General features: G+C 50.6%; 1 protein-coding gene, 1 long non-coding RNA gene and 1 other non-coding gene across 15 annotated transcripts in view; 2 read left to right on the top strand and 1 right to left on the bottom strand.

The window, feature by feature from the left end:
* Positions 1–13,958, top strand: part of PAX5 (paired box 5) — a 201,000-nt gene extending 187,042 nt beyond the window's left edge. For 8 of the 13 annotated variants that reach the window (NR_103999.2, NR_104000.2, NM_001280556.2 and 5 more), the window contains 2 exons: positions 298–384; positions 6,591–13,958. Coding sequence is in view for 11 of the 13 variants with exons in the window: in NM_001280549.2 (NP_001267478.1) it covers positions 298–384; positions 6,591–6,698 (195 nt within the window). In the remaining 2 variants the exon portion in view is untranslated. The remainder of the gene's footprint in view (positions 1–297; positions 385–6,590) is intronic. The other 5 variants (NM_001280551.2, NM_001280553.2, NM_001280550.2 and 2 more) reach the window with 1 other exon arrangement.
* Positions 16,975–26,010, bottom strand: part of LOC105376030 (uncharacterized) — a 50,778-nt gene continuing 41,742 nt past the window's right edge. The window contains exon 3 of the long non-coding RNA XR_001746662.3: positions 16,975–19,082. This is a non-coding gene — a long non-coding RNA (uncharacterized LOC105376030). The remainder of the gene's footprint in view (positions 19,083–26,010) is intronic.
* MIR4475 (microRNA 4475) lies at positions 23,628–23,688 on the top strand. The gene has a single exon (NR_039686.1). It is a non-coding gene; the product is annotated as a microRNA 4475 (primary transcript).

Below are 26,010 nucleotides of genomic sequence, written 5' to 3'. Positions count from 1 at the left end.
TGACCCCAAGGAACATCTGGCACATGGGGCCACAGAACGACATGGGAGTTCCATGGTACACATGTGAGAGTCTGCCATTCACTCCCACTGATAAGGAGGGGAAATACAGACAATGCCAGTGACAGCTGCCCACTCCATAATGATGTGGACCTGACTTGCTTTTGTTGGTTACAAAAGCGCCTGCAACTCACGGAAGAGGCAAATGCCATTGGCAACCAGGCTGGCTGGGACCCAGGGCCTTTTCTGAACTGGATTTGACGTTTGGTTCCTGTTTCTCTCTCCACCCACCATACACAGGGAGTGAGTTTTCCGGGAGTCCCTACAGCCACCCTCAGTATTCCTCGTACAACGACTCCTGGAGGTTCCCCAACCCGGGGCTGCTTGGTGAGTACTGGCGGAGGCCCTGCGGGGCCCTTGGGCCATCAGCTACCCCATCCAGGCCTCCTCACTGGCCTGGGTCCCTCGACATCCTGAGGTCTGGTCACTGAGGTGGGTGGGTAGCTTGCCCAGACACATGGAGCACAGGTGTTTTCATGGGGGCCTTAGGGCAGTAAATAGTGCTCCAGCCCTGCTCATGCCCTCCTCCCTCCCCCAGATGCTTTGGTGGGTTAGGAAAAATGGCACAGAAGGGAAACAGAGGAAAAAAGGGGCATTGAAGGAGAAAGAGGAAGGTAGGAAAAGTGCCTACCTGTGAGTAACTTGTATTTCTTAAGCATAATGACATATTCAGGCGAGAACTCTCTAAATAAGTGTCAGTAAAGATACCAACTTGAATCGATTGGTAGTGGCTGCCTGGAGACCACCTTGATAAAGACCCTGATGCCCAGTGATTGATTAGTGATGTCTGCATGGACATCACCAGAGCCGGCTCTGTTAGAACCTGGTTGCCTGTGGCTGGAGGTCTGACAAAGCATGCCATTTAGGGCTCAGCTGGTGCCCACCCTCTGCCCAAGCCTTGGATTGGCAGATTGTCCGTGACTGGTGGCAGTCTGATCTGTGAACATCATCAAGATTTGGGCCACCGCAAAGACCATGCAAGTCTAACTCAGCTTTCAAAAGGCCAAGGGGAGCCCTCTGTTTTGTTGGACTGACCTTACATGAAACCAGCTAGTGAGTGCCAGTTGGAGCTAAAGGTTCTGGGACATGAAGTAGAGGCATGGGCTCAAAGATGTCACTCACCATCTGGGAGGTGGAGCCAGCCAATCAGCCTGCAGATAGCAACATGGAGCCCTCCCCCAGCAGTCAGCTAAGAATTTTCTACTTCGAGCAGTAAAAGGTCAGACATGGAAGGGCCCTCTGAGACCACCCAGGTTTATCTGCCCAGCTTAACAAGGCCTCCTTAAGGAAGAACCTTTTAATTCCTTGGATCCTTAATTATTTTGGGACTGAGAAACAGGCTTCATCAGAAAAGCCATAACCTGGTGTCTTCAAACTCAAGTTGCCAAACCATAGGTCTGTGAAAAAGGCCATGTAATCTCAGCCTTGACCCCTTCCCAAACCTGATTTGGTGGCTAGGACAGACACACAGTATGGAAACCACTTCTCTCTTGCTACTACCATTCCATGCTCTTGGGACCTTGGGCTGTCCAAAGGATTTTGGTGTGTCATGCATGACTTGGGGATTCAATAAGAAACAATTCCCATTAGTGCTGCAGGTCCCTGTGCAAGGAGATTGCAAGCCTTGCAGAAGACTCCTAGCTTCTTATTATCTGTGGTCTCCAAGAGGGGCAGAATCTGCAGATTGATCTCTTCTCAGACTCCTTTTTTGGTTTTGGTCAAAATTAGTTCTAAGTATCGAACCAAGATATCCGCTTACCTAATGTTTTTTTCTTAAATGGACTATTTGAGTTGACCCAGACGTCTGTCTTAGGAAACAGGAGGCATGGGCTGGCTGTGGGCTCCCTGAACCAGTGTCTTCCAGCAGGGGTGGGGGTAGGGAGATGAGTCTTGAGGCCCAAACCTGGGAGTCCTTCCCAGGAAATCTGCCTCAGGCAGAGGCCTGATCCCAGTCCTGCTGGGAGACCCCAGGGGATATGGCACACAGGAGACCTGGACACTGGCCTGTGGGAGAGGTTCCTTCTGATGGAGAGGTGACCCCAAGGAGGCCATAGTGGCCCAGGGCTGCCACACATGACTGCACTGCCCAAGGGGACAAGTGGGAGCTGAACCCCAGCCCATGCATGGCACAAAACCCTGAGCCCTGGCACGGGGCTGCACCTTCTCAAAAGGGACACATTTTTCTCATTTTTACAAGGTTCCTAGAGGTTGATAGTGGCTGTCATTTATTTGCCTGGGAATTCAAGAAGCAGAGAAATTAGAAGAAACTTCTCAGGCACGTGTGGCAAAGGCTTGGTGTAGGAGGTGGGGCTATCTGTGGAGTGTGCAGAGTGGCCCCTTGAAGGCCAGGCTGGGGAGTTTGGACCTGACTGTGTAGGTCTGAGGAGATAGGGAGGGGAGGGCAGGACTAGACTACATCCAAGGCTTTTGCTACTCAAGCTGGAGTGAAATCTAGTTCACAGCCCCAATTGTTAGGCTTGGGCTGTGTGCCTGTTGTGGAAAAGATGCACACTCTGTCCCAGGGAGCTCACAGGCTGTGGGTGGGAGCCTCAGGCAGGGGTGTCTGGCTGGGAAGTGCTCAGTACCTTTAGGGGGCCAGAGACAGCATGGAGAGGAGGAAAAGGAAGCAAAGCTCCATTCATCTACATGAGCGCTTGCTAATTGTACCAGGCACCCAAAACCCTTTTTACATGGGCTATCTGATGTCGTCCTCTCAGCAACCCTACAGAGCACATATTATTATCTCTATTATACGGAAGAGGACAATGAGGCTCAGAAAGGTGAACTAATTCACCTGAGGTCACACAGCATTCAGGTGGCAGAAGGAGGATTTAAATTCAGGTCACCCTGACACCAGAGCCTATTTCTGGAACCAGTATGTGATGTGGTACTCTACTCTCCCTGACTGAGTCGCAGTTTGAACAACAGCAAGCCAGGAAAAGAGGCCTCACCCCTCTGTAGAAACAGGCCTTGGGAGTCCTGAGTCCTGAATACTCAGACCTGTGTGTGAGTGATGAGACTGGCTCTGGTCCAGCTTTGAAAGCAGGTTACTATCTGTATCTGTCAGACTTTCAGTTTCAAACAACAGAATCCACTCTGACTGGCTTAAGCAGAAAATGAATTTATTAAGGGATATTTGGGACTCCTAGAATCTCCAGGAGGACAAAAAGAGGTAGGCATGGGACACAGCCAGGACAACACCCACCACACAACTAGAGTTGCACTAGCATCAACAGCCCTGCTGCCAGCCAGCACCCAGCCTGCAGCTCCACTCCACTGTAACTTTTCCCGGGGTGCTTGGAACTGGGCACCAGAAGCTCTGTCCTGCCCCCAGCCAAAGCTGGATGCCTTTGCCACCCACTCCCAACAGATGGAGTCCCCCAGCCCACTGCTTCAAGGGGCTACCTTCTCAATCAAGGTCATATACAAGAAAGTCTAATTGGCAGAGCCCATGAAACACACCTGTGCCCTAGCAGCAAGGGAAGCTGGAAGGATGAGTTCTGACTTCTGGCTCAAAGAAGCAGGCCTCCTACTGCAGAATCTCTACAAACACAGGAAGAGCACAAACGATATTGGCCAGAAACAAACATGAGAAATGGTCCCTGCACTGCCCAAGTCTATAACCTGGAGGAGCCTAGGCAGGTCTGGGCCTCAGTTGCCTCGGATGTAAATTGAGGATAGTCATCCCTGCAGCCTCATTCCAACAGGAGCTGCATGCATGCTCTCTTGAGATGTGCAGGGCAGAGGAAGCAGTGATCCCACCTTCCTGAAGATGGGTGAGATTGCTGCCTCCCCAACCCACAGCCTTGCAAATAGCTCCAGGCCCGTTCACCTCTCCCGGCCCGCCCTGCCCCACGGTGTCTTCAGCGTGGCCTGAGAGAATACCCCAGGGCAGGTAGACCTAGATGGGTTATTCGTGACATCTGGGGAGGGCGCCAGGGCATGGAAACCTGTCCGGAGGTCCCTTGGTGCTCCTGTTAGATTGGTGCGCTCTGTGGAACAGGCGAGAACCCTACACACACACATGCACACACACACAGACGCACGCTCACACTCATACACTCACACACACACACGCACACACACACAGGCACACACACGCTCACACACTGATACACTCACACACACATGCACACATACACGCACATACACACACAGACACATGCTCACATCCCCACTCCCACTCGCACACACCCTCGCATGTGCTGCCCACACCTCGTCCAACCTGGCTGAAGCCTCCTTCCCAGGAATGGCCAAGGTGAGGATCAGCGATGCCAGGAGATGAAGCAGAAGGACTGGGGCACTTTGACTTCTCGGGAGAATGTCCCTCAGCCAGGGCAACTGTGACTCAGCATCCCACCAGGGCCCCAGGGTGGCAAGGGGGCTGCGGTCCCGGCAGGAAGAAAGGCCGGCTGCGGTCAATTAGGATTAGAATAGGAGTGCCTGTGGCCGATGTGAAGGGATTAGAGAGAAAGCAGAACCGGGAATGACTGTGTCAAGCAGTAAATTGACCATAATGTGAATTAGAGAGGAAAAATGACAGAAGAAAGGACAAGTTTATTCTAGATGGAGGTTTAATGGGCGCCAGGAAGACAGAGTGCTTTGTGAGGTGATGTTTTCATTTTTCACAGTAAATGCAAGCTTTCACACGGAGGCCCGCTGGAGGGTCTAGCCTGGCTTTGGGAGGGAGTGGGTCAGAGTCCAGGGTGAGAGGTGGCTGGGGTTGAGGGCTTGGAGGGTCAAGCCAGGGATCCTCCAAGGAGAAGACTCTACTTCCGTTTCCTGTCCTCTGGGGCCCGTGTGTAGGGCAGACCCTGTGATTACCCTGCCTTCGTGCCATGCCCCTCTCATGCACACACACCCGCCTTCCTCTGGGCTCACCTGCAGGCAGGGTGAAGGGCAGGCACTGCAGACACTCCATGGGTGGCTGTCCCCATCCCTCAGAAGAGAGAATAGAGGAAGGCTGACAGGGGTCTCTGAGTCGGGACTGCAGCCAGGGAGGTGACAGAAGAGGCGGCAGAAGAAAACCCATCTCAGGGAATACTTAGGCACGGGGTTGGTGTTTGTGCTGTCTGGAACAGCACAGCAAGGTACTAGCCCCTCCACTGCCATACTGCCTCCTTGGGGTGATGGGGAGGGAGCAGCACATCGGCTCATCAGGGCTGAATGAGGAGGAGAGGTGGTGCATCCCAAAGTGTCACCCCTACTCTGGCAGACTCCAGGACTCAGCCCCCAGTTATGGTACAGGTCGACTCTCCCTAATCCAAAAGCCAACTTGCTAGAACCATCTTGCACTCTCCAGAGCTTCTTTCTGACCTTGGATCCCCTTCCTGCTCTGAATATTAACCTGTGTCAGGCTGGCGTTTGCCCCATTATTGCCCAGCCCTGCCCCCAGCAGGGTCAGGAAATGAGTGGTGAATGAATGAGTTAATGAATGAATGGGCAGGGGGTGTCTTCGCTATTGTTTGCTCACTCAGCAAAGTTGGTTCATTTACATGTCCAATCCAGCTAAGCAGGTGCCACATATGGCTCCAGGCTGGAACTGGGGACAGACTCCCAGGAAGAGCAGAACCCAGCTTCTGCCTTTTGGGGGCTCTCCATCTGGGGATGGGGGAAGTGCAGAAAGAAGTCTTTCCCATAGCATAGGGACAGACTACAGGGGAGTGTGAGCTCAGGGCAGGGGGCTTCCCAGAGGAGGAGACAGGGCTCTGAGATTTGAAAGAGGCATAGAAGTTTAACAGATGGGAAAAGGGGTGAGGGTGCAGGCCAAGAGTTCCAGGCAGGAAGCACATTGTGGGGAAAGGCACAGAGGCAGGAGAGTATGCTAGCATGAGCTAAACTGTGCCTACCCCATAGGTTTAAATGAGATAATACATGCACAGGCCCTAGCAGGGCCAGGCACAGAGGATGTGCTCATCTGTTCGCATTGTGTATGTATGAGACAGCTGCAAGGAGTTTCATCCAGCTTAAGCATGATATATGAGTGTGGGCAGGAGGGGCCTTCCCTGAGGGAAATGAATTCAGAGATGCTGGCTGGGGATAGCTCACAGAGCACCTGCAGGCCAAACAAAGGGAATGCTTTTCATGTTTTTATCTTCTAGGTCAGGGGTTGGCAAATGATTTCTATAAAGAGCCAGAGAGTAAATATTTTAGGCTTTGCAGGCCACAGTGTCTCTGTTGCAACTATCCAACTCTGTCGTAATAGCAGTAAAGCAGTAATGGGCAATGCCTGCATTCATAGGCAAGACTGTGTTCCAGTAAAATGTTATTCACTAAAACGGGCAGCTGGGAGGATTGGACCCAAGGGCCCCAGGCTCCGGACCCCAGCTCTAGATGGCGAAGAGCCTCGAAATCTTATGAGCAGGTTGTGGCCCTGATGGGACTTGCCATCTGGGGAACAGACTGGGACAGAGATCTTGGTGAGAGAGGATGGTGGCCCGGACTGAGTGAGGGGAGGAAAGGACAGAAGTGGAGGAGACTGGTGGAAAGGGGACCCCGGATCTGACCTCGGTGCTCTCTCCCGTCTCTTCCAGGCTCCCCCTACTATTATAGCGCTGCCGCCCGAGGAGCCGCCCCACCTGCAGCCGCCACTGCCTATGACCGTCACTGACCCTTGGAGCCAGGCGGGCACCAAACACTGATGGCACCTATTGAGGGTGACAGCCACCCAGCCCTCCTGAAGATAGCCAGAGAGCCCATGAGACCGTCCCCCAGCATCCCCCACTTGCCTGAAGCTCCCCTCTTCCTCTCTTCCTCCAGGGACTCTGGGGCCCTTTGGTGGGGCCGTTGGACTTCTGGATGCTTGTCTATTTCTAAAAGCCAATCTATGAGCTTCTCCCGATGGCCACTGGGTCTCTGCAAACCAATAGACTGTCCTGCAAATAACCGCAGCCCCAGCCCAGCCTGCCTGTCCTCCAGCTGTCTGACTATCCATCCATCATAACCACCCCAGCCTGGGAAGGAGAGCTTGCTTTTGTTGCTTCAGCAGCACCCATGTAAATACCTTCTTGCTTTTCTGTGGGCCTGAAGGTCCGACTGAGAAGACTGCTCCACCCATGATGCATCTCGCACTCTTGGTGCATCACCGGACATCTTAGACCTATGGCAGAGCATCCTCTCTGCCCTGGGTGACCCTGGCAGGTGCGCTCAGAGCTGTCCTCAAGATGGAGGATGCTGCCCTTGGGCCCCAGCCTCCTGCTCATCCCTCCTTCTTTAGTATCTTTACGAGGAGTCTCACTGGGCTGGTTGTGCTGCAGGCTCCCCCTGAGGCCCCTCTCCAAGAGGAGCACACTTTGGGGAGATGTCCTGGTTTCCTGCCTCCATTTCTCTGGGACCGATGCAGTATCAGCAGCTCTTTTCCAGATCAAAGAACTCAAAGAAAACTGTCTGGGAGATTCCTCAGCTACTTTTCCGAAGCAGAATGTCATCCGAGGTATTGATTACATTGTGGACTTTGAATGTGAGGGCTGGATGGGACGCAGGAGATCATCTGATCCCAGCCAAGGAGGGGCCTGAGGCTCTCCCTACTCCCTCAGCCCCTGGAACGGTGTTTTCTGAGGCATGCCCAGGTTCAGGTCACTTCGGACACCTGCCATGGACACTTCACCCACCCTCCAGGACCCCAGCAAGTGGATTCTGGGCAAGCCTGTTCCGGTGATGTAGACAATAATTAACACAGAGGACTTTCCCCCACACCCAGATCACAAACAGCCTACAGCCAGAACTTCTGAGCATCCTCTCGGGGCAGACCCTCCCCGTCCTCGTGGAGCTTAGCAGGCAGCTGGGCATGGAGGTGCTGGGGCTGGGGCAGATGCCTAATTTCGCACAATGCATGCCCACCTGTTGATCTAAGGGGCCGCGATGGTCAGGGCCACGGCCAAGGGCCACGGGAACTTGGAGAGGGAGCTTGGAGAACTCACTGTGGGCTAGGGTGGTCAGAGGAAGCCAGCAGGGAAGATCTGGGGGACAGAGGAAGGCCTCCTGAGGGAGGGGCAGGAGAGCAGTGAGGAGCTGCTGTGTGACCTGGGAGTGATTTTGACATGGGGGTGCCAGGTGCCATCATCTCTTTACCTGGGGCCTTAATTCCTTGCATAGTCTCTCTTGTCAAGTCAGAACAGCCAGGTAGAGCCCTTGTCCAAACCTGGGCTGAATGACAGTGATGAGAGGGGGCTTGGCCTTCTTAGGTGACAATGTCCCCCATATCTGTATGTCACCAGGATGGCAGAGAGCCAGGGCAGAGAGAGACTGGACTTGGGATCAGCAGGCCAGGCAGGTCTTGTCCTGGTCCTGGCCACATGTCTTTGCTGTGGGACCTCAGACAAAACCCTGCACCTCTTTGAGCCTTGGCTGCCTTGGTGCAGCAGGGTCATCTGTAGGGCCACCCCACAGCTCTTTCCTTCCCCTCCTCTCTCCAGGGAGCCGGGGCTGTGAGAGGATCATCTGGGGCAGGCCCTCCACTTCCAAGCAAGCAGATGGGGGTGGGCACCTGAGGCCCAATAATATTTGGACCAAGTGGGAAACAAGAACACTCGGAGGGGCGGGAATCAGAAGAGCCTGGAAAAAGACCTAGCCCAACTTCCCTTGTGGGAAACTGAGGCCCAGCTTGGGGAAGGCCAGGACCATGCAGGGAGAAAAAGCAGACTTCCTCTGGCCACCGCTAAGTATTTTGTTCCCTAAGTCCCCCACAGGGTGGTGGAACAGAAGAGAAAACTAAGGCTCAGCAAGGTGGAGTCCTCAAGCAGTGACTGGTGGGGGTGGGGCTGGGACTCGGGCTCCTGACCCCCAACCCATGGTGTTCCCTGTCACCCTGGTCTATCCACATCTCCTATTCCTGAGGAGAGTTGACAGTAAGAGCAGTGAGAGATGGTTCTGGGCCCCATGCCCTAGACAATCAGTCTGTAAGAACTGCCAAGGAAGCCTGGTCACCCAGGCCAGGGATGGAGCCCAGCGAGCTCACAGCAGGCACATGCACCCCCGCCCCCACCCAGAACCTGCGGGGCAAAGAAGGGAGGTAGTTGGGGCCAGAGTCCACCTCCAGGAGCCAGGGTGAGCTGGCTGCAGCTTCCACCTGTCAGGTAAGGTAGGAGAAGGTATGTTACCTGGCATCTCTCTCCCTGCCTCCCTCCATTTAGCAGGAAGTGGTGGGGTCAGGGGTCTTCAGCACAGACTTCTTGAGCCTCTGCCCCCTGTCACCCTTCTTTTGGAATGATGTGTACCCACATCTTTGGATCCTGCCCTCCTTGTGGTTCCAGGCTGTTGGGAGGAGGTCAGCCTCCCCTGAACCAGCTGCCTGAGGCATGCAGCATCCTTCCTCGGCAAAGCCCACCTGGCTCACAGCGGCCCCCTCTCCCCATCCTGTTCCTCTTCTTGCCCTGTAATGAGCTCCCCCCATACCTTTCCTCCCTCACCTGAGGCTTTGCTGGTCCTCAGATTGGTTTTGTATTTGTGAGACAACCACTTGACTCCTGGGCTGCCAGGCGGAAGCACAAGCGCACATGGATGCACACGGATGTTCTCACACACACACGCCCGCTCTCACCAATTCACAGCACCTCGTGGTCCAGCGGAGCTGCCTGGGAGCTTGGTGAGGATGGCTCCAAAGGACACAAGCCGTTGAGTAGATGCCAGAGAATTCTGAATGGAAAACACAAGTCCGGGGCCTCACCAGCATCGTGGCAGAAGGCCTGGGGCATTTCTCCATGGGCCTTCTTCCCTGTGTTCGAGCTCTGACTTTTGGAAAAGGACATTGTGGATTTTATGAAAATTTCTCATACCATCAGTCTAGCTCCAACCTAGAAAAATTGGATGATATATCAAACCCAACATCCCTTTCCCAAGGCACCTTAGTTAAGGCTAGCCCTTCCATAACTGACATTGTACGGTGCTTTGCAATCCTCAACCACTCTGTGGAGCAAAGAGCATGATGCCTACTTTATAGACGGGGAAATTGACATTTGGGGCTCTCACGGCAACATAGAGGCGAAGTGAATTCTCAGATCTCCAGGCCCCATTCTCTCTCCACCGAGTTGTGCTCCTGTCATGGGAGTGTATGGCTTAAAGACACTCCCCCACCCCCATTCCCTAGAAATCCCCCAGACCCACAATCAGGCAAGAAAGAACAGGGACCCAGAGGCTGGCCTGACCTAGGGGCCTGCAGGTTGGCGGCTTTGTTTCCTAAGAACATTGAAACCTGCGGAGTCTTTGACCAAATCCACAACAGTGCTTCTGAGGTTTCATCCAGACTCTTTCCCAGCTGTCCCTGAGGTTCAGAGGGTATCAGAGTCAATTCAAGGCCATGCCATAATCCCTGACCAGGCCTGGACATGGGTCCAGCCCTGACTCCAGGGGTCCAGGTGCCAAGGTCATGTGCTGTCCCCCACTTCCCTTTCTTTGCCTTCGCACTTTGGAACAGGCTCCAGGCCTGGCTGTGACAGTATGCAGGAGTGCCCAAGCCAGGGCCACCAGGGTGTCCACAGCCCCTGGAAACACAGATCACAATCTCAAGTCCCCTGAATGAACTGCTTCCTGGGTGAACGGGGTGGTGTAGCCTTGCCACTCGGGCAGCGCACCAGACAGTACGGTGCAGCAGTGCCCGAGATGCCCAGAAGTGTGCCTGCCCCCCTGAGTGGCATTCAAGTATGAAAACTTGTAAAATTTTCTGTCGGCCTAAAGAAAAATGTCCATGGGCCAAACTTGACCCACTGGGCACCAGCCTGTGAGCCCCAATGCCTGTCAATTGCCCCCTTTCTCATTCACCTCCTGTCCTTTGTTGCAGATTTGGAGGAGATGGGAGCCCAGAGAGGTGAGAGATGTGCTTCAGGGTGTCCAGCAAGGCAGGGGTAGAAACGGGCACGCCCAGAGCCTGCCACTCTCCCAGGCCTCATCTTGGGCTCTTGCAAGTCTTGCGCTTTGAAGATGGAGTTGGGTGGAAGGTCAGAGGCGCTGGGGACGGGATTGGGGAGCTGCTGGGTTTTCAGGGGAGGTCAGTGCTGCTTGGGCACCTTTCACATGTGCAGGGAAGAGACTCAGATGTGGCCACAGGGCACTGAGGGGTGAAATCCATTTACCAGAAGTCACGCTCCAGAACGACTGCCCAGCCTTGGCAGCCAGTGGCTCCAGCCACCCCCTCCTCATGACATTCAGCCAGAATTGAGCTCCAAGCCAGGGAAGCAAATCTTAAAAACCAACCAAGCACCCTGACACAGCCCTAGAAACACGATGAGTCTGAAATACAGCTTCCCAGGAGGGGAGTCTAAGATACAGCTTCCCGGGAGGGTGGAAACCAACTCCTGCCCCACGGCCAGGCCAGGCCCAGGCAGGCATGGGTGGATCCCACAGGGCTCTGAGCTAGACCGGCTCCACGGTGGCCCCACTACGAGGCCAGTTCTGCAGTCTTGGCCTTGTCACCCATCGAGAGGCTGCTCTGATGGTTCCCAGCCACACACCAGCTCTCCTGGGGAAACTATTTCTTTCGTTCTTTTGGCCTCGGAGAGGTCCGAGGCAAGTACATTTCTTAAAAGGTAATAAAATGCATTATTGGAAAGTTGGACAGTCAGGCCACGACTCCTAGCCCACGGCGTGCCCCACCTCCCAGCAGCCCCTTCAGCCCCTTGCCCCTGTTGCCCCAAACCTCAGGGTTCCCTCTTGCATATTCATGGGGGAACCACAGTGCTGATGTGTACTTCCCCACTGTCAGCTCGGCTGCACCTCGTGTGGCGCCAGGTCCCAAGGGCCTCTGCAGAGGCCAGGCTGTGAGCCCCTTGCCTGCCTGCTCCCCTGATGAGGCAACAGCTTCTCTGAAATGAGCTGCCGGCCAGGAGCAGGCAGGCACCAGCCTGTCTTTCCTTTTCTGGTAATTCCTCAGCACTGAGGCTCCGTTCCTGGGCACCCCAGGATTGAAGGGAACCTCAGAATCATGTCACTGCCATTCTAGAGTTTCAATCCAAGGGGTCCCCTTTAGCTCATCTCCAAGATGGGTAAACGTAGCCACCATTCAGAAAGCCCAGAAATTCTTGTTCCCACATCTTAGACCCCTGAGCAACACAAGGAGAAAATGCAGCTGCTTACCTATTAATATCTACTGAGGGACAATCAGCAAAGCCTCAAAGGAGTCGTCTCAGGTAGGGTACTTGGCCTGTGGCAGGAGAGACAGAGGCACAAACCCACCCACCCATCAGCTTCCGGTGGCTGATCGGGGCCCAGGGAGGGAAGCAGGTGAAACAGCAGGGTGGGGGTGACTTGGCAGTCGTGCATCTCCTCCCCGACTCTGAGGCCTGGCAGGAGGAGGCCACACCAGCCTCACCTGCCCTGACCCCCGCCCCCCACCCTGTGACCCTGTGGCTATGGCCGCTGGTCGCCCTTGTCCCCAAAATCACCATGCCTGTGGCCACGTCCCTCATCTTCTCCAAAAGCATCATTAAGAACAAGTGATTTTGGATGATGGATTTTTGATTTACAAACGGCGCATTTCCCTTGGAGTGGAACAGAAAGGAAACCATTTAATGGCGCCCTTCTTTTCAAGCATGAATACATTTTAATGAAACTATTTTATTGTATTTGAGGAAATGGAGAGTTGAACATTCCAACCAATCAATAGCCAATTAATTGCTATAAAGCTAAAAAGAAAATAAATAAATCCTGAGTCTATTTTAAACACTGCAAAAAGTTCAGAGCCTCAGAATCTGGCCTTCCCCTCCATAAGGTGCACGAGCATGTAAACACACACACACACACACACACACACACACACACACTCACTCACTCCCCTACACCTCAGACATACTTGAAACTCAGAAACAGCACTGAGTCTCCCCATGCCAATTCTTGCCTGCTGTCTTCGACTTGGGTCAGAGAAGGTGAGCAGACCCGGCAGCAGCCTGTCCCGGGGCTCAGGAAGAGGCAGGCCCATCCCCTGGCCCCAAGCACCCAGCACAACAGAGGGTGGCGGGCAGTGAGGGCCTGGCGTTGCCTGGGCCCCACTTCTCAGCCCCAGCTGCTGGGCCTCCAAGGTTGGGCTGAGGATGGAGTTTTGGCTCTGGGTTTGCCCTGACTCCTGCTGGAAGACGCTGCCCTGGTTTTTCACCCTCTAGTGGCCTTGGACATTGAGTATTTGTAGAAATGCAGATTACATTGCAAATGGAAACCTTTGCCAGGAAGACACATGCATTTTGCTTTTAATTCTTTGAGACATTTGATTTTGTCTTAGGGACTGACCTTTCAGCATCAAAGAAATACATATCTACTGTATCCGCCAAAGTTTGTGATGCCTGCATAGACGCTTACTTGTAAAAAAAAAAAAATACAAAAAAATACAAAAAAACCAACAACAAAAACCACAATTGAATTGCCTTTGAAAGTGGGAGATGATCTGTCTCCAACGGATTGAAAAAAAAAAATGCTTCTTAAAAAATGTGTATGTTTTGTATTCTTTTTTTCTAGTAGAAAATAACTGACTTGAAATATTGGTGGTTTTTTTCTTAGTGACGTGTGTTGCTTTTGTGTGTAATAATATTTGAATGTAATTACAGCAGTGCCAATTTGCCAAAGATGTTGGACATATTTTTCTTTTTTGGGGAGGAGGGCAGGGCTAGGGGTGGGACTTGGGAGAAAACAGGGGTGGGGTTTTGGTTTAATTTTTTTTTTACTTTTTTTTCCTTGTCAAACCTGAAATTTGTGGCTTCCTTTTAAGTTAAATGGTTGACTGCAACACCTTTATTTTAGATTAGTTGGAGAAACATGCAATAAGATTGGCGTAGTTTCAATATCTGTGTGTCTTTTCATGAGTGGCTGTTACTTGTGAAGAATTGATTTTATGTAACCTTTATGTGAGATAATTATTTGTAAATATTTGCCATAATTTTATTGGTTCCTAAAATAAAAGTAATTTTTTAAGTTCAGAAAAAGAATTTGATCTTGTTTGTTTTTACTAGTTTGAGGATGACCTTTGACAACTTTGACTGTACCGTAGTCATGCATGGATTTGATTGTTTTGTCAAAACAAACCCATGTTGCAGAATTGGGCTGTGCCCTGGGCAGGGGACAGCAGGCACAGAATCCACCCTTGAGATGTCCCCAGGCTTGGCAGGTTGAGTCATGGGTGAGCCACCACTCTGGATTTGACTCCTAGCTGTGATTTAATGTCTACTTCTTCAGTTCCCAAATGGTAATTCCCACCTAATTCATTCATTCAGCACACACTGATTGAGCATCTATTCTGTCCCCAGCACTGGGGACACAGAAGTGAACAGGGCCAACCAGGACTCTGCTATCAGTGGCACAATCATAGCTCACTGCAACCTTGAATTCCTGGGTTCAAGCCACCCTCTTGCCTCAGCCTCTCAAGTAGCTAGGACTACAGGCGTTCACCACCAAGCCCAGCTAGTTTTTAAAATAATTTTTCCCTACTTACAAACTAACATATTATCAGCTAATTTTTTAAAACTTTTTGTAGAAACAGGCTCTCACTATGTTGCCCAGGCTGATTTCAAACTCCTGGCCTTAAGCCTTCCTCCTGCGTCAGCACCCCCAAAGTGCTGGAATTACAGGCATGAGCCACCGCCCCCATCCCATATGTGCTTTTCACTTTGATCCTGTCGAGCCTCCTGGAACCTAAAATGCCTGGATCCAGACAGAACTCAGAAGCCATTCACACCAGGAGACCTCGCCTCTGGGCCCCAAAGCCACAGGCCATATCCAGTCAGACCTCGGAGAGCAAGAGTCCACAATCCTTCTGTCCTGTCCTTAAGCCTTTGGAACTGAAAATTTCAGGTGCAAAGGAGCCCAGAGGTGGCTTTTCATCAGCGGGTAGGGCAGCTGCAGACTTGAGCTCTGCCCCTGCCGGGCGATGTCAGAGTGTGCAAGGGCAGGCAGGGACCGCTGCGCCCGTTGGCACAGTGTGCAACTCAGTAATTGCCAGAGATGGAGTGGGCGAGTGACCGCGTGGGGGCCGTGGACAGCAACTCATTCATATTTAATAAAGCAGCTGCACGGCCTCCATTCATTTCTGCAATGGATGGTGGCGAAGGTGATTCCTGAGGGAGAGAGGGTGAGCCATGGCAGAGTGCTGGCCTGGCTCCTCCCTTCTCAGTGCTCCTGACTTACAGCACAAACTTCAAAGAGAAGTAGGCATGTTTTTTTAACTGAAATCGGACCCCAAACCTATGAACTGGTGAGGCAGGGCAGCTGCTTCGTTTCCTGACACTGTGGCTCTATCCTTGGTTTTCTGGGGACAGAAGCCTCAGACCTGCCCTCCCCAGAAACAGGGCACCAGTCTCTGCAGTAAGCAGGGCATGTGCAGCCCCCACGTGACAGCAGAATGGAGGCAGTGGGCAAGGCCTCCAGGTATGGAGGTGGAAGTACCAACCCTGACAGCCTCAGGCAGCCTCCAGCAGCCCCTCCGCACTCAGGGACAGTGAAAGAGGAGCAGAGACAGAAGAGTGAGATCTGCCATGGGAGGTGTTCCTCGAACTCCCCAGGGAGCCAAGCCCCATGCTGGGTGCTGGGGACGGAAGAAACCCCTGGGGGAGTGAGACTGCTGCAGGGCAGAAAGATCAAGCCTCCTGCAAGCCATGCCTGGGAGTCTCAGCTCTAGGTTTTGATGGTCAGTTTGCTGATATAAGCAGTCTCTTAACTTCTAGAAGCCTTGATTTCTTCAGCTGTGTAATGGGTATAAACCTGATAATACTTACCTCAAGAGTGTTATGAGAAACAAGTGTTATGCATTGTGTAAAAGTTTTTCCAAATGACAAATGGGAGTTTTCCCAGGATGTCTTCTCCACTGTAAGGAAGTCAAAATTTTACACCTCAAGGTCAAATTCTAGTCAGAACCTCCTCTGTGCTGGGTGCAGGAGGAGGATAGAATGCAGAAATGAACCAACCAGGAGCCTGCTCTCTGGGGGCAGGTGATGTGTGTATTTTAATTCTAGGCATCACATGGCCAGTATCACCTACAGCTGGAGGAGGCAAGGAGGTGTGGTCTCAGGAGGGGTTCCTTTCAGTTGTGGGAGGGGTAGCCAGAGAAGGCTTCCTGGAAGAGATGGCTTTTGAGCTGAGCTGTGAAGGGTGGGCAGAATCTTAACAGGAAATTTTAGAGAGGGCAGGAAGGGAAGGCATTCCAGGCACAGGTAACAGTGTGAACAAAGCCCCACAGATGGGAAAATGGGTGTGTTGGGAGGAGATACTGAACCATTTACCTCTGAGTTAACCAGGCACTGTGGCCTTTTCCCCAAGCCTACCTTCTGAGGCTCTGTGGGTGCCACCAGGTCAAAGGTAAGGGGTAGCTTGGGTTCTGGATCAAGGTGAGGGCTAGCCTAGGCTCATGTCATTTCCTAGCAGATGGGGTTCCTCAAGGAGGAGAGGAGGTGGCAAATGCAAGCAGAGGCTGACATCTTCCTTAGGAGGCAGCGAAGGGGAGCGTGTTTCAGATGGGGGTGGGAGCAGATGGATTTCCAGCCCCGCAGATCCAATAGCTGTGGAGCCTCTTGGCCAGCTGTGTGGTGATGTGGGGAAGGGGACCCTTCTGGCCGACTGAGCACTGCTGTGGCCTCCTCAGCACACTGCCTCAATAGCTGTCTCTGGGAGGGACGCATGGCCTGCAAAGCCCCACAGGAGGAGGCCATCACTAGGAAGCACGCTCTGCAGGAGACACAGCTGCTATGATTTTAGACCACTGAGGCCTTTAGCACCCCAGGTGATCTTAGTGATTTATTTATCTACATGTCCTGATTTTTCTTCAGTGCACGTGCATTACACACAATTTGAAGATAATTTTTAAAAGTTGACGTTGCTCTCCTTGCTTGGTCTTCCCAGCAGATCGTGATGGGGGCCTCTGCAAGCTCCACTACAGACCAGCTCTGAGGACGTTTAGCAAAGAACCTGCCTGTGTGAGTCTGTTAGGGTACAGAGCACAGGAACACACACTGGGTGGCCGAAACAATTTATTTTCTCGAAATTCTGGGGCTGGAAGTCCAAGATGAAGGTGTCAGGCAGGGTTGGTTACTTCTCAGCCTTCTCTCTGTGTCTTCACACCTCCTTCCCTCTGGATGCGTCTGTGTCCTAATCTCTTCTTACACAGGCATCAGTCACCCTGGATTAGGGCCCACCCTAAAGACCTCATTTTAACTTCATTACCTCTCAAAGACCCAGTCTCCAAATACAGTCACATTCTAAGGTACTGAGGGTTAGGACTTCAACATATAAATGTGGGGGTGACACAATTTAGTCCATGACACCATTTGAGAAGAAGGAGACCCCCAGATCCTGAGAGCAGTCCCAGCTGGGACCTGCTCTTCACCCATCAACACTACCTCTGCCCGTGCTATGCCACCCCTAACCCCAGTGACACCTGCCCCTGTTTGTCCAAAGCCAGAGGCTTCTGCCCCTCAGATCTGAACTCCCAAATGTGGCCCCCAGGAAGATCCTTACCTCATACCTTCCATCCAAAAAAATTCCTAGTGGAGCCAAGAGTTTCTTTAAAAAGTTTTAAATAGAATGAATGGGGTTATAGATGAATATATTTCAAACTTCCATATGAAATATGACTTTATAAGCTTAAAAAGATGGAAAAGTCTCAAAGGACAAGATTGAAATATTTAATCTTATGATTTTCTTTTTTTAGTTTTATGTATCCAAAAACATTTAACAAAATACAAAGATAAAGAAGTTGGAAAAATCTAAAGAATGTGAAAAGGCATAATGCCTTTAATACATGAAAAATGTGCATGCAATTTTATGAAAAATCCTACCACCCTCAATAGAGACATGGGTAAAGGTATCCACAGAACACTCATAAATGAGCACAATGTTCAATCCGACACTGAAAACACTATTTGACTTCACAAAAATCATTTTTTAAAAACACCTAGTGCTGGCGAGGGCGAGAAGAAATGAACACCCATCTATCCGGCCACTGAGCTGTCTTACAATATGAGGCCAAGGCTGCTGTTACTCTCTAACCCCAGCTGGGTTGGGTGGTTCATGCCTGTGATCCCAGCTACTCAGGAGGCTAAGGTGAGTGGACTGCTTGAGGCCCAGAGTTTCAGATCAGCCAGGGCAACATAGCAAGACCCTATCTCTAAAAAACAAACAAACAAACAAATCTCTAGGCCTAGGTGCTGGCCCCAGGGTACCTGGAGGGGCTAGAACTTGAAAGGGTTGGAGTGGGGATCCTGCAAGGGGCCTGACCACTCCCAGTGCTGTGGTTTTTCCCTGGGGCTGGCTGCCTGCAGTCACAGGATGACATTTACAGCCCAGGTCAGGTGGGAAACATGGCGTTTCAAGCCCAGTGGTGTCATCTGGAAGGGCATGCAAGCAGCAGAGGTTCCCACATTATCCACAAACATGTGTAAATATCGCGACGGCGCATAATGCAACCAAGAAAATCACTTCCCGTTGTTTCCCCTTCAGTGATATTTTCTGCTTGGCTGAGTTTGCTTAGCACACTAGAAAGGCCAACTCATCAGTTCTTGTTGTTAATCAAGAGCAGTAATTGTCCGAGTTCAAAGCCTCCTGACTTAGACTCTGCTGAATAGGATAACAAGTTCCAAAAATGCTAAGTAGTAGTTTCTATAAATGGGCTTTTTTAATAGGGAAGGCCCCTGAAGAGGGTTTGGAAAGAAAACCTTTCTGTGAAGTGGAATTAAAACATTGTGCAGACTTTATAGAGCATGGCAAATAAACTCCTAAAACTCCTAGAAGCTCTTAAAGCATGGACATTGTGGATGCAGACTCATTTTCTCATTCACAGTGCAAACTGGTATATTGGTTAAGGCGATATCAACTGATGTAAGAAACATATCCCATACCTTCAATGTCTTAACACAATAAAAATCTGTTTCTCACTCACATGTCAGCCTTGTGAGACCCAAGGAGAGGACCCACATAAGTCATACCCCATGTTAAATGTAGCATTCCTGGTAGGCAGGCAGCCTTCCACAAGGTGACTCAGGGATCCAGCCTCCTTTCTTGTTTTAGCTCCGCCGTCTTCAACCTTATGGCTTCCAAGTTTACCTCGTTTGTCTGCATCAGGCCTGCAAAAAAGGAGAGCACGGAGGATCAGCCACTGGAGAGTGTTCATGGGCAGGGCTGAAGTGGTAGATATCATTTCCATTCACATTCTAGTGACCAGAACCCAGTCCTGTGGCCCTACCCAACTGCAAGGAGGCTGAGAAATGCAGTCTAGTTCTGTGCTGAGGAAGAAGAGGACATGGGTCTGTGGGACAGCTAGCCAAGCAGTATTTTCATGACACTCATGAATTCCAGAATTTCAACCCCAGCTTTGCTCAGTTCTTTTCTACCAACTCTGGGGCAGTGGAAGGCAGAATAAGTTGATGCAAAACAATGGCATGCATGTGCCTGACCCAGCTCAGCCCCCTGCTCCTCACCTTTGTCCTGCTCTCGCGTGAACTCACGCTGAACCCGGGCTTGGAGAACAAGCACATTCCTGGCCTGGAAGAACTGAAGGGAGTCCCAGGGCTTGTCGTCCTCAGCCCTGCTCTTGGTCTACTCTGATCTTCTGCCTTGCTTCTAAACATAGGACTATTTGGGTTGAGTTGTGAGCAAGAATGTCAGTTAGCATTTACTGAGCACTAACTATAACTATCTGCCAGGCACTGATGCTTAGTGAAAATTTTCCCATTGTCCCAGAATTGCACAGCCAAGGCCAAAGCTGAAAACTGTAATTTCACAGATCCTCCAATAGTTGGCTCCAGTCACCTCCTGCAGGGTGGGGAGGTGACAATTCAGAGAATGAACTTGACCACTCAATAACACCCCCTACTCACCCCACCACCACCATCACCACATAAGTAAAGACTGAGAGAGGAAGAGACAGTCAGCTTGAGGAAGATGCAGATTCAGGAGAGAGGCTAGTGGGCAGGGCTGCTGTTTCCTCTGCCCAAAGCCAGGGGTCAATGGCTTTAAGAGACTCCCTGGGAAGTTTGGAGGTACCTTCAAAAAGGGGAGCCTGAGATTTCACCTTCTGTATGGGCATCTGCTTGGCCAACAGATTTGGTAACCTGCCCTTACATTTCCTGAAACAGGGGAAAGGAGAATGGGTAAAGATATGCATGTGCCTTGTGAGCTGTGGGACACCATTGATGAGAGCCACCCTCCCACTGCCCAGTGGGAACCCCACCCCAAAACCCTCTCCCTGGAGCGGGAACATCTGGAAGCTGTGCGGTGGATGGTCTTTGATGAGGGTTGGGAGAAGGAACAGAAGGAACAGAGCCACGTCTCCCACCATCCAGGACCTGCCTGCAGGGGTCAAAGAGGGGAGGCACATGGGATTACCAAATGAGAATAAAGACAACACATCCTACAGACATCATGACAGCCCCCAGTCAGCTGAGTTTAAGTCAGTCAAAAGGGAAACGATCCTGAGTGGGCCTGACCTAATCAGGTGATCTCTTTAAAAGAAGGTCTAGCAGTCAGAGAAACAGATGCCTTCCCTTTGGCCTTGAAGAAGCAGAGGGTCAGGCTGTGGAGAGGACCACCCAGCAGGGATTGGTGGGCAGCCCCCTAGGAGCTGAGGGCTTCGGCTGTCTAACCGCAAGGACCCAAGTTCTGTCAACACCCAGGGAATGTGGAAGAGGACCCTAGCCTTAAGTGAGATGACAGCCCCAGCTGGCACCTTGATGCAGCCTTGTAAGACCCCAGGGAGAGGACCCAGATAAGTCACACCCCAACTCCTACCCCACAGAAGCTGAAATAATCAACGCATGTTATCTTCAGCCACTGGGTTTCTGGTAACTTGTTATGGAGCAGCAGAAAACCAATGTAGTTTCTCCACAGGCTGCCAGAGCCACAGCAGGGGCCGGTCGGCCCCGGGTGATGGCAGAGAACTCCGGCGTCGGATTATGTTTGAGATTGAAATTTCAAAAAGAACAGGACAGAATGTTAAATACCAAAACGAAACTGTTCTAATAACTGAAAGTTATTCGAATGTTCTGGAATCTGACCAAGATGTCAATAAAGGTGCCACCACCCTACCAGAAATGCGAGAAGGAGGATAGTTCCATGTAGCACAGCTGGGGGTGGGGGGGGGAGGGGGGAATTAACTCATGTCATATTTACACGCCAAAGAATTAAGACCCCTTTATAAAATGGACTTCACATGCAGGCTCTCACTTACTCCTTACAATAACACTATGAGGTCCTGACAATTATTACCATCCTCACTTTTATGGGTGGAGAGACTCAGGCTGAAAAGCCCAGCTATCTCACCCCAGGTCACACAGCTGGTAAGCCGTGGCCAAGACTTGAAGCCAGGCTGTGTGTGACCCCAGGTGGAGGGTCCCCAAGAGTCGCTGCTGCCCATTCAGCCCACAAACTCCCAGCACCTGGGCCCTGCAGCAGGTAGTGAAGGCTCAGTGGAGATGGGAGGGCATTTTCTTACCCTTCACAAGAAAGGCACCGGCTGGTGACACCTCCAGGCAGAGTCTCCAGGGCTCTTCTCCTGCTGCGTCTCACCTAGGCAGCTCTGATGCGGCTGGAAGTCGAATCCAGGAAAAACTAAAATTCCAGTAAAAATCATGGATCAACTGGGATGACTTGAAACTGCTGTCAACATCTGCATTTTAGAATGAATTGCTGGCTGTCTTCTCCTTCTTTCAGACAGTAAACACTCCTGGATATCTGTTCCATGCCAGGGTCTCGGATAGGCACAGGGACCCCAGGGACAAAGAGGAACAGGCATGGTCCCTGCCCTCAGGGAGTGCCCCATGTGGTGGGGCGGGGGAGCAAATCCATAGCCGTACAGCAGATCTGTGAGTCTATGAGCAGTATCTCAGGAGGTAGACACTGTGGGTCTGGTGGGAATGACAGGCTCTAGTGCACCGCACGGGAACAGTGGTGTGTCACTGGTAACCAGCACCTTTCCTGAGCAGGTAGGATGTGCTTTTGCCACCGTCCTGCAAGGAGCGTCTGTATGTTCCCCAGATGAGGAAATGGGTTCAGATCAAGCTGTCTGGGGAGGAGGTGAGCACCCTGTCGCTAAGAAGCCCAAGCCGGAACTGGATGTTTACTTGGCAACACCAAAAAGTCTCATCTGATAGAGACTGGACTGGGGGCCTCTATGTGTACAGTGGGTTTTCATTTTGGTATTAAACTTTGGTGTTTTTAAAAAAAGATCATACACACACACCCAGTTAAAAAATTCAAACAGGGGCCGGGTGCGGTGGTTCACGTCTGTAATCCCAGCACTTTGGGAGGTCAGTGCGGGCAGATCACAAGGTCAGGACGTCAAGACCAGCCTGGCCAATGTAGTGGAACCCCATCTCCACTAAAAATCAAAAAAATTAGCCAGGTGTGGTGGTGGGCACCTGTAATCCCAGCTACTCAGGAGGCTGAGGCAGGAGAATCGCTTGAACCCAGGAGGTGGAGGTTGCAGTGAGCCGAGATCACACCACTGCACTCCAGCCTGGGCGACAGTGAGAGACTCTGTCTCAAAAAAAACAAAATTCAAACAGAACAAAAAAAGTAGGCAGTGGGTCTCACTTCCACTCCAACCCCGAGGCTCCCAGGTCTCTTCTCCATGACTCTAGTCGCTGTGTATTCTTCCAGAGATAATTTATGCATATGTTATATATGCATATACATAGAGATATTGCGGGTATGTGTGTATATACACATATCTCTTCATTTAAAATATTCTCAGAGTCTCGTTTCTTTGTAAAATTTCATTTTGAGGAAGTCCAACTTTTTCTTGGCAAAGCTAGAAAGAATAGTATTTTTTTTCAAATCCATGTTAAATATTTATTTTACTGCCTGTAGTAGTCAGAATTAGATCAGCTATGAACGACTGAAAAATCCAGAACAGCAGTGGCTAAAACAGGACAGATTGTCTTCTCTCACATTCAGAGTCTGGAGGCCAGCGATCCATGGCTGATACAGCAACTTGGCCGAGGAGGCCCACACGGACCAGACTCAGTCATCTGTGGCCCTCCTGAGGCTGTGTCCCTCAGCCCCAAGGCCCAAGATGGCAGCATCAGAATTCCAGACAGCAAGACAGAGGAGACAAAGGAAAGAGAACCTGCTGTCTCTGAGTAAGGTTCCAGGAGGCTGGCACCTGGCACTTCTGCATGTATGTCATGGACCAGAAGCACATACTAAGGCCACATCTGTCAGCAAGGAAGGCTGGGGAAGGGGATCTCTACTCTGAGCGGCCCTGTTTGTCCAGCTACAAATTCTGTTATTCCGGGAAAAGGAGAGACTGGATATTGGATTGTGAGTAGCAGTTTCTGTTCTATCTCCATTGCCCAGTTGGTCAGAGTAGAGACACATTTCTTCATTTATTCAACCAATTGTTATCGAATAAATATTTGTTGAATTAAAGGGAGATGGCAGAAGGAGGGACTTGTGTGGAGATAACAGAGGACCCAGATCTGCTTCAAAAACTCACAAGGGACCAGCTAAGACCACCGGCCTCGAGCCCTAGAGAGAACTATTATCACCTTGCTTGTTTACTCTCATACCTATATCAGAAGGCCCTCACCCAGGACTCAGTCTTTCCATCTGAGCAACGGGGCCGGAGATATGAGTTTGAACCACATGACTTCCAGTCCTTCCATCTCAAAATCTCAATGAGTGTGTGGTTCTAAATGACTCATAGTCAAGGGACCAAGCATTCATTATGAAGCCTGAAAGTCAAAGGCGAGAGTTCAAAGACACCAAGGGCCCCTTGGAGCTGGCCTTCCCTGTGGTGACCCTCATCCCTCAAAGGGCCGTCTGAAGCCCCCAGGCACATTATTCTGCTGAGCCAAAGAGCTAGGTCTCAGTGAACACTAGCATCTACCCAAAGACTAGGCAGAAAGTAAAATACAGCAGACTGCCTGTCAACAGAAGTTTTCCAAAGGGGAACTATTAAAAATGGTAACTTGCGGGTTCATAAGGTCCAAACTATGGAGGAAGGAGTGTGGCTTCTGCAAAGAGAAGTCTGCCTCCCTGATCCGCGAGGCTTTGAGGAAGAATGATGTCTGAATGAGAATAAACCAAAAGATGTTATTGTTTAGTCTTCAAATGGCTTTGGAGACATTCCCCAGGAAATCCACTAAAAACACAGAATTTTTCAAGAAGTCTTGGGACATTTCCTCATGATTAACACACTGGCTTAGGGAAAGAAAAGCCAAAAGTAGGGGAAAATAGACTCTTCTCTGAATAGAAAACAGTAGCATTATCTAATTCTCTAGGGACTGGAATTAACTGGTTTTAATTAATATTTGGTAGTTATTAGGGAGAATTTCTTGTGAGAAAGGAGTTAAGCCCATCAGAATTAAGTAAGGCTCTGGAGGGGCTGCCAGGCTACTTGGAGGTCTGAAGTGAATCAGGTGAGCTTCAGTGGGGAAAAAGAACTCCAAGCTATGGGCTTGGGAGAGTAGAAGACACAGTTCAGGAGCCACGTGGACATTAAGGCTGCTCGGGAGCTCGCCAGAAGCTGAACCTATGCTTTATCAAGGGACTTTCAAAATAGGGAATATGCCCATGGGATGTTTGGCTAATCACAGTTGTGGGTGTGTGGACACAATCACAGCAGTACTAAAATGTAGAGACAGGGAGGCAGCTAAACTCTGTGGTCCAGTCCACGGTTCAGAAGCATCTTTCAGTCCCAGGCCAGCCAGCAGCTGCTTCTCCTTCTGCCAGGACACTAGGGTTTCTATCCAACTTCCCCAGCAATGCTGAGCCTGGCGAGGGTTTTAATTTTCTATCTTGATGAAAAATGTGTGGTTTATACACTGTCGTAGAACAAATAGAATTGGGATTTATGTTTCACAACTTCCATGGTTTGTTTGGGTTTCTTCCATATGTCTTTGACAGTCCTATCACATTTCTGACAGTTATGATTTTTTTTTTCTTTCTGGGAAGTTGGGGAGAGGCAGAGAACACATTTTTCCCTTTTTCCCACTAAGTCTTGCTTGAAAGTATGTGTGAGCATCATATGGGCCCGTGCGTGTGCCTCTCTTATTGAGAAAACACGTGAAAGTGTGTGTGCAGGCTGTGGGGTTACATGTTTGTGTAGGGGGCACTGGGCTACAGTGTGTGGACATGAACATGTTAAGTATAGTGCTATGTATTGGATACATGTTTGTGATGTGATGGTGGTGGTGTTTGTGTGTGTGTGTGTGTGTGTGTGTGTGTGTGTGTGTCTACAATAGAAAAATCAGCCAATTAGGTGTTATTCTAATTCAGATGTCATCAATGACCAAGCCTCTCTCTTCACAATGTCATGCACGCACGTGTGCCGGGCCTGCCAGCAGTTGGGAAGGGTCAAATTGTTCTCCATGCCCCAAATTCCATGTGTTTTCAATTACTTTCACATGTGTGTTTCCACGTGTGGTGTTTTAATTATGTAGGTGAAGAAAATGTCTCACTCCCAATTATTGATCGAGGCCCATCCCTTCACTCTGTGCGGCAGAGTCCTCCTCACCAAGTGTCGTTAAACACGACATCAATCCCAATAGATTGACTAATTCCTTTTTCATTATTAGAACAGATTTACAACTTTGGAGTCAGGGTGTTGGGTGGGTTTTCTTTTCCCACTAGAAAATTCATCTGTATCCTAGAATCAGCTTGTAGCTCAATGTAAATTCAGTGTAGAATTTAGTCAGTTATTAAGTGGATGTAAGTGGCTGAACCCTGGTGTAATCTGACCAGCAATGCATGAAGGAAAGAGTTGGAGGTGTAAAAAATGTCAAATAGCTTTCTCAGATGCATTAAACTATTAATAAAGATAAAACGATCTTTATGTTTGGGGTTTAGAACATCTCTTTTATGATAGCAAGAAGCCACTTTGATTCATGACTCGTTGGTTTCAAGGTCTGGTGTCATTATTCAGAAGGTGTCAGGAAGGAAACAGAGACAAACTCCTCAGCAGGAGGAGAGGTGAAAAAAGAAGCTCGGAGTGCAGGACTGCTCTTGCCCCGCTGGGTTGGGCAGGGAGATGTGACAGTGAGGGGACGAATA

Source organism: Homo sapiens, chromosome 9 (assembly GCF_000001405.40).
Source record: "Homo sapiens chromosome 9, GRCh38.p14 Primary Assembly".
Classification (NCBI taxonomy): Eukaryota; Metazoa; Chordata; class Mammalia; order Primates; family Hominidae; genus Homo; species Homo sapiens.
The sequence above is the reverse complement of the archived record's forward strand: the minus strand, read 5'-3'. Positions and strand labels throughout refer to the sequence as shown.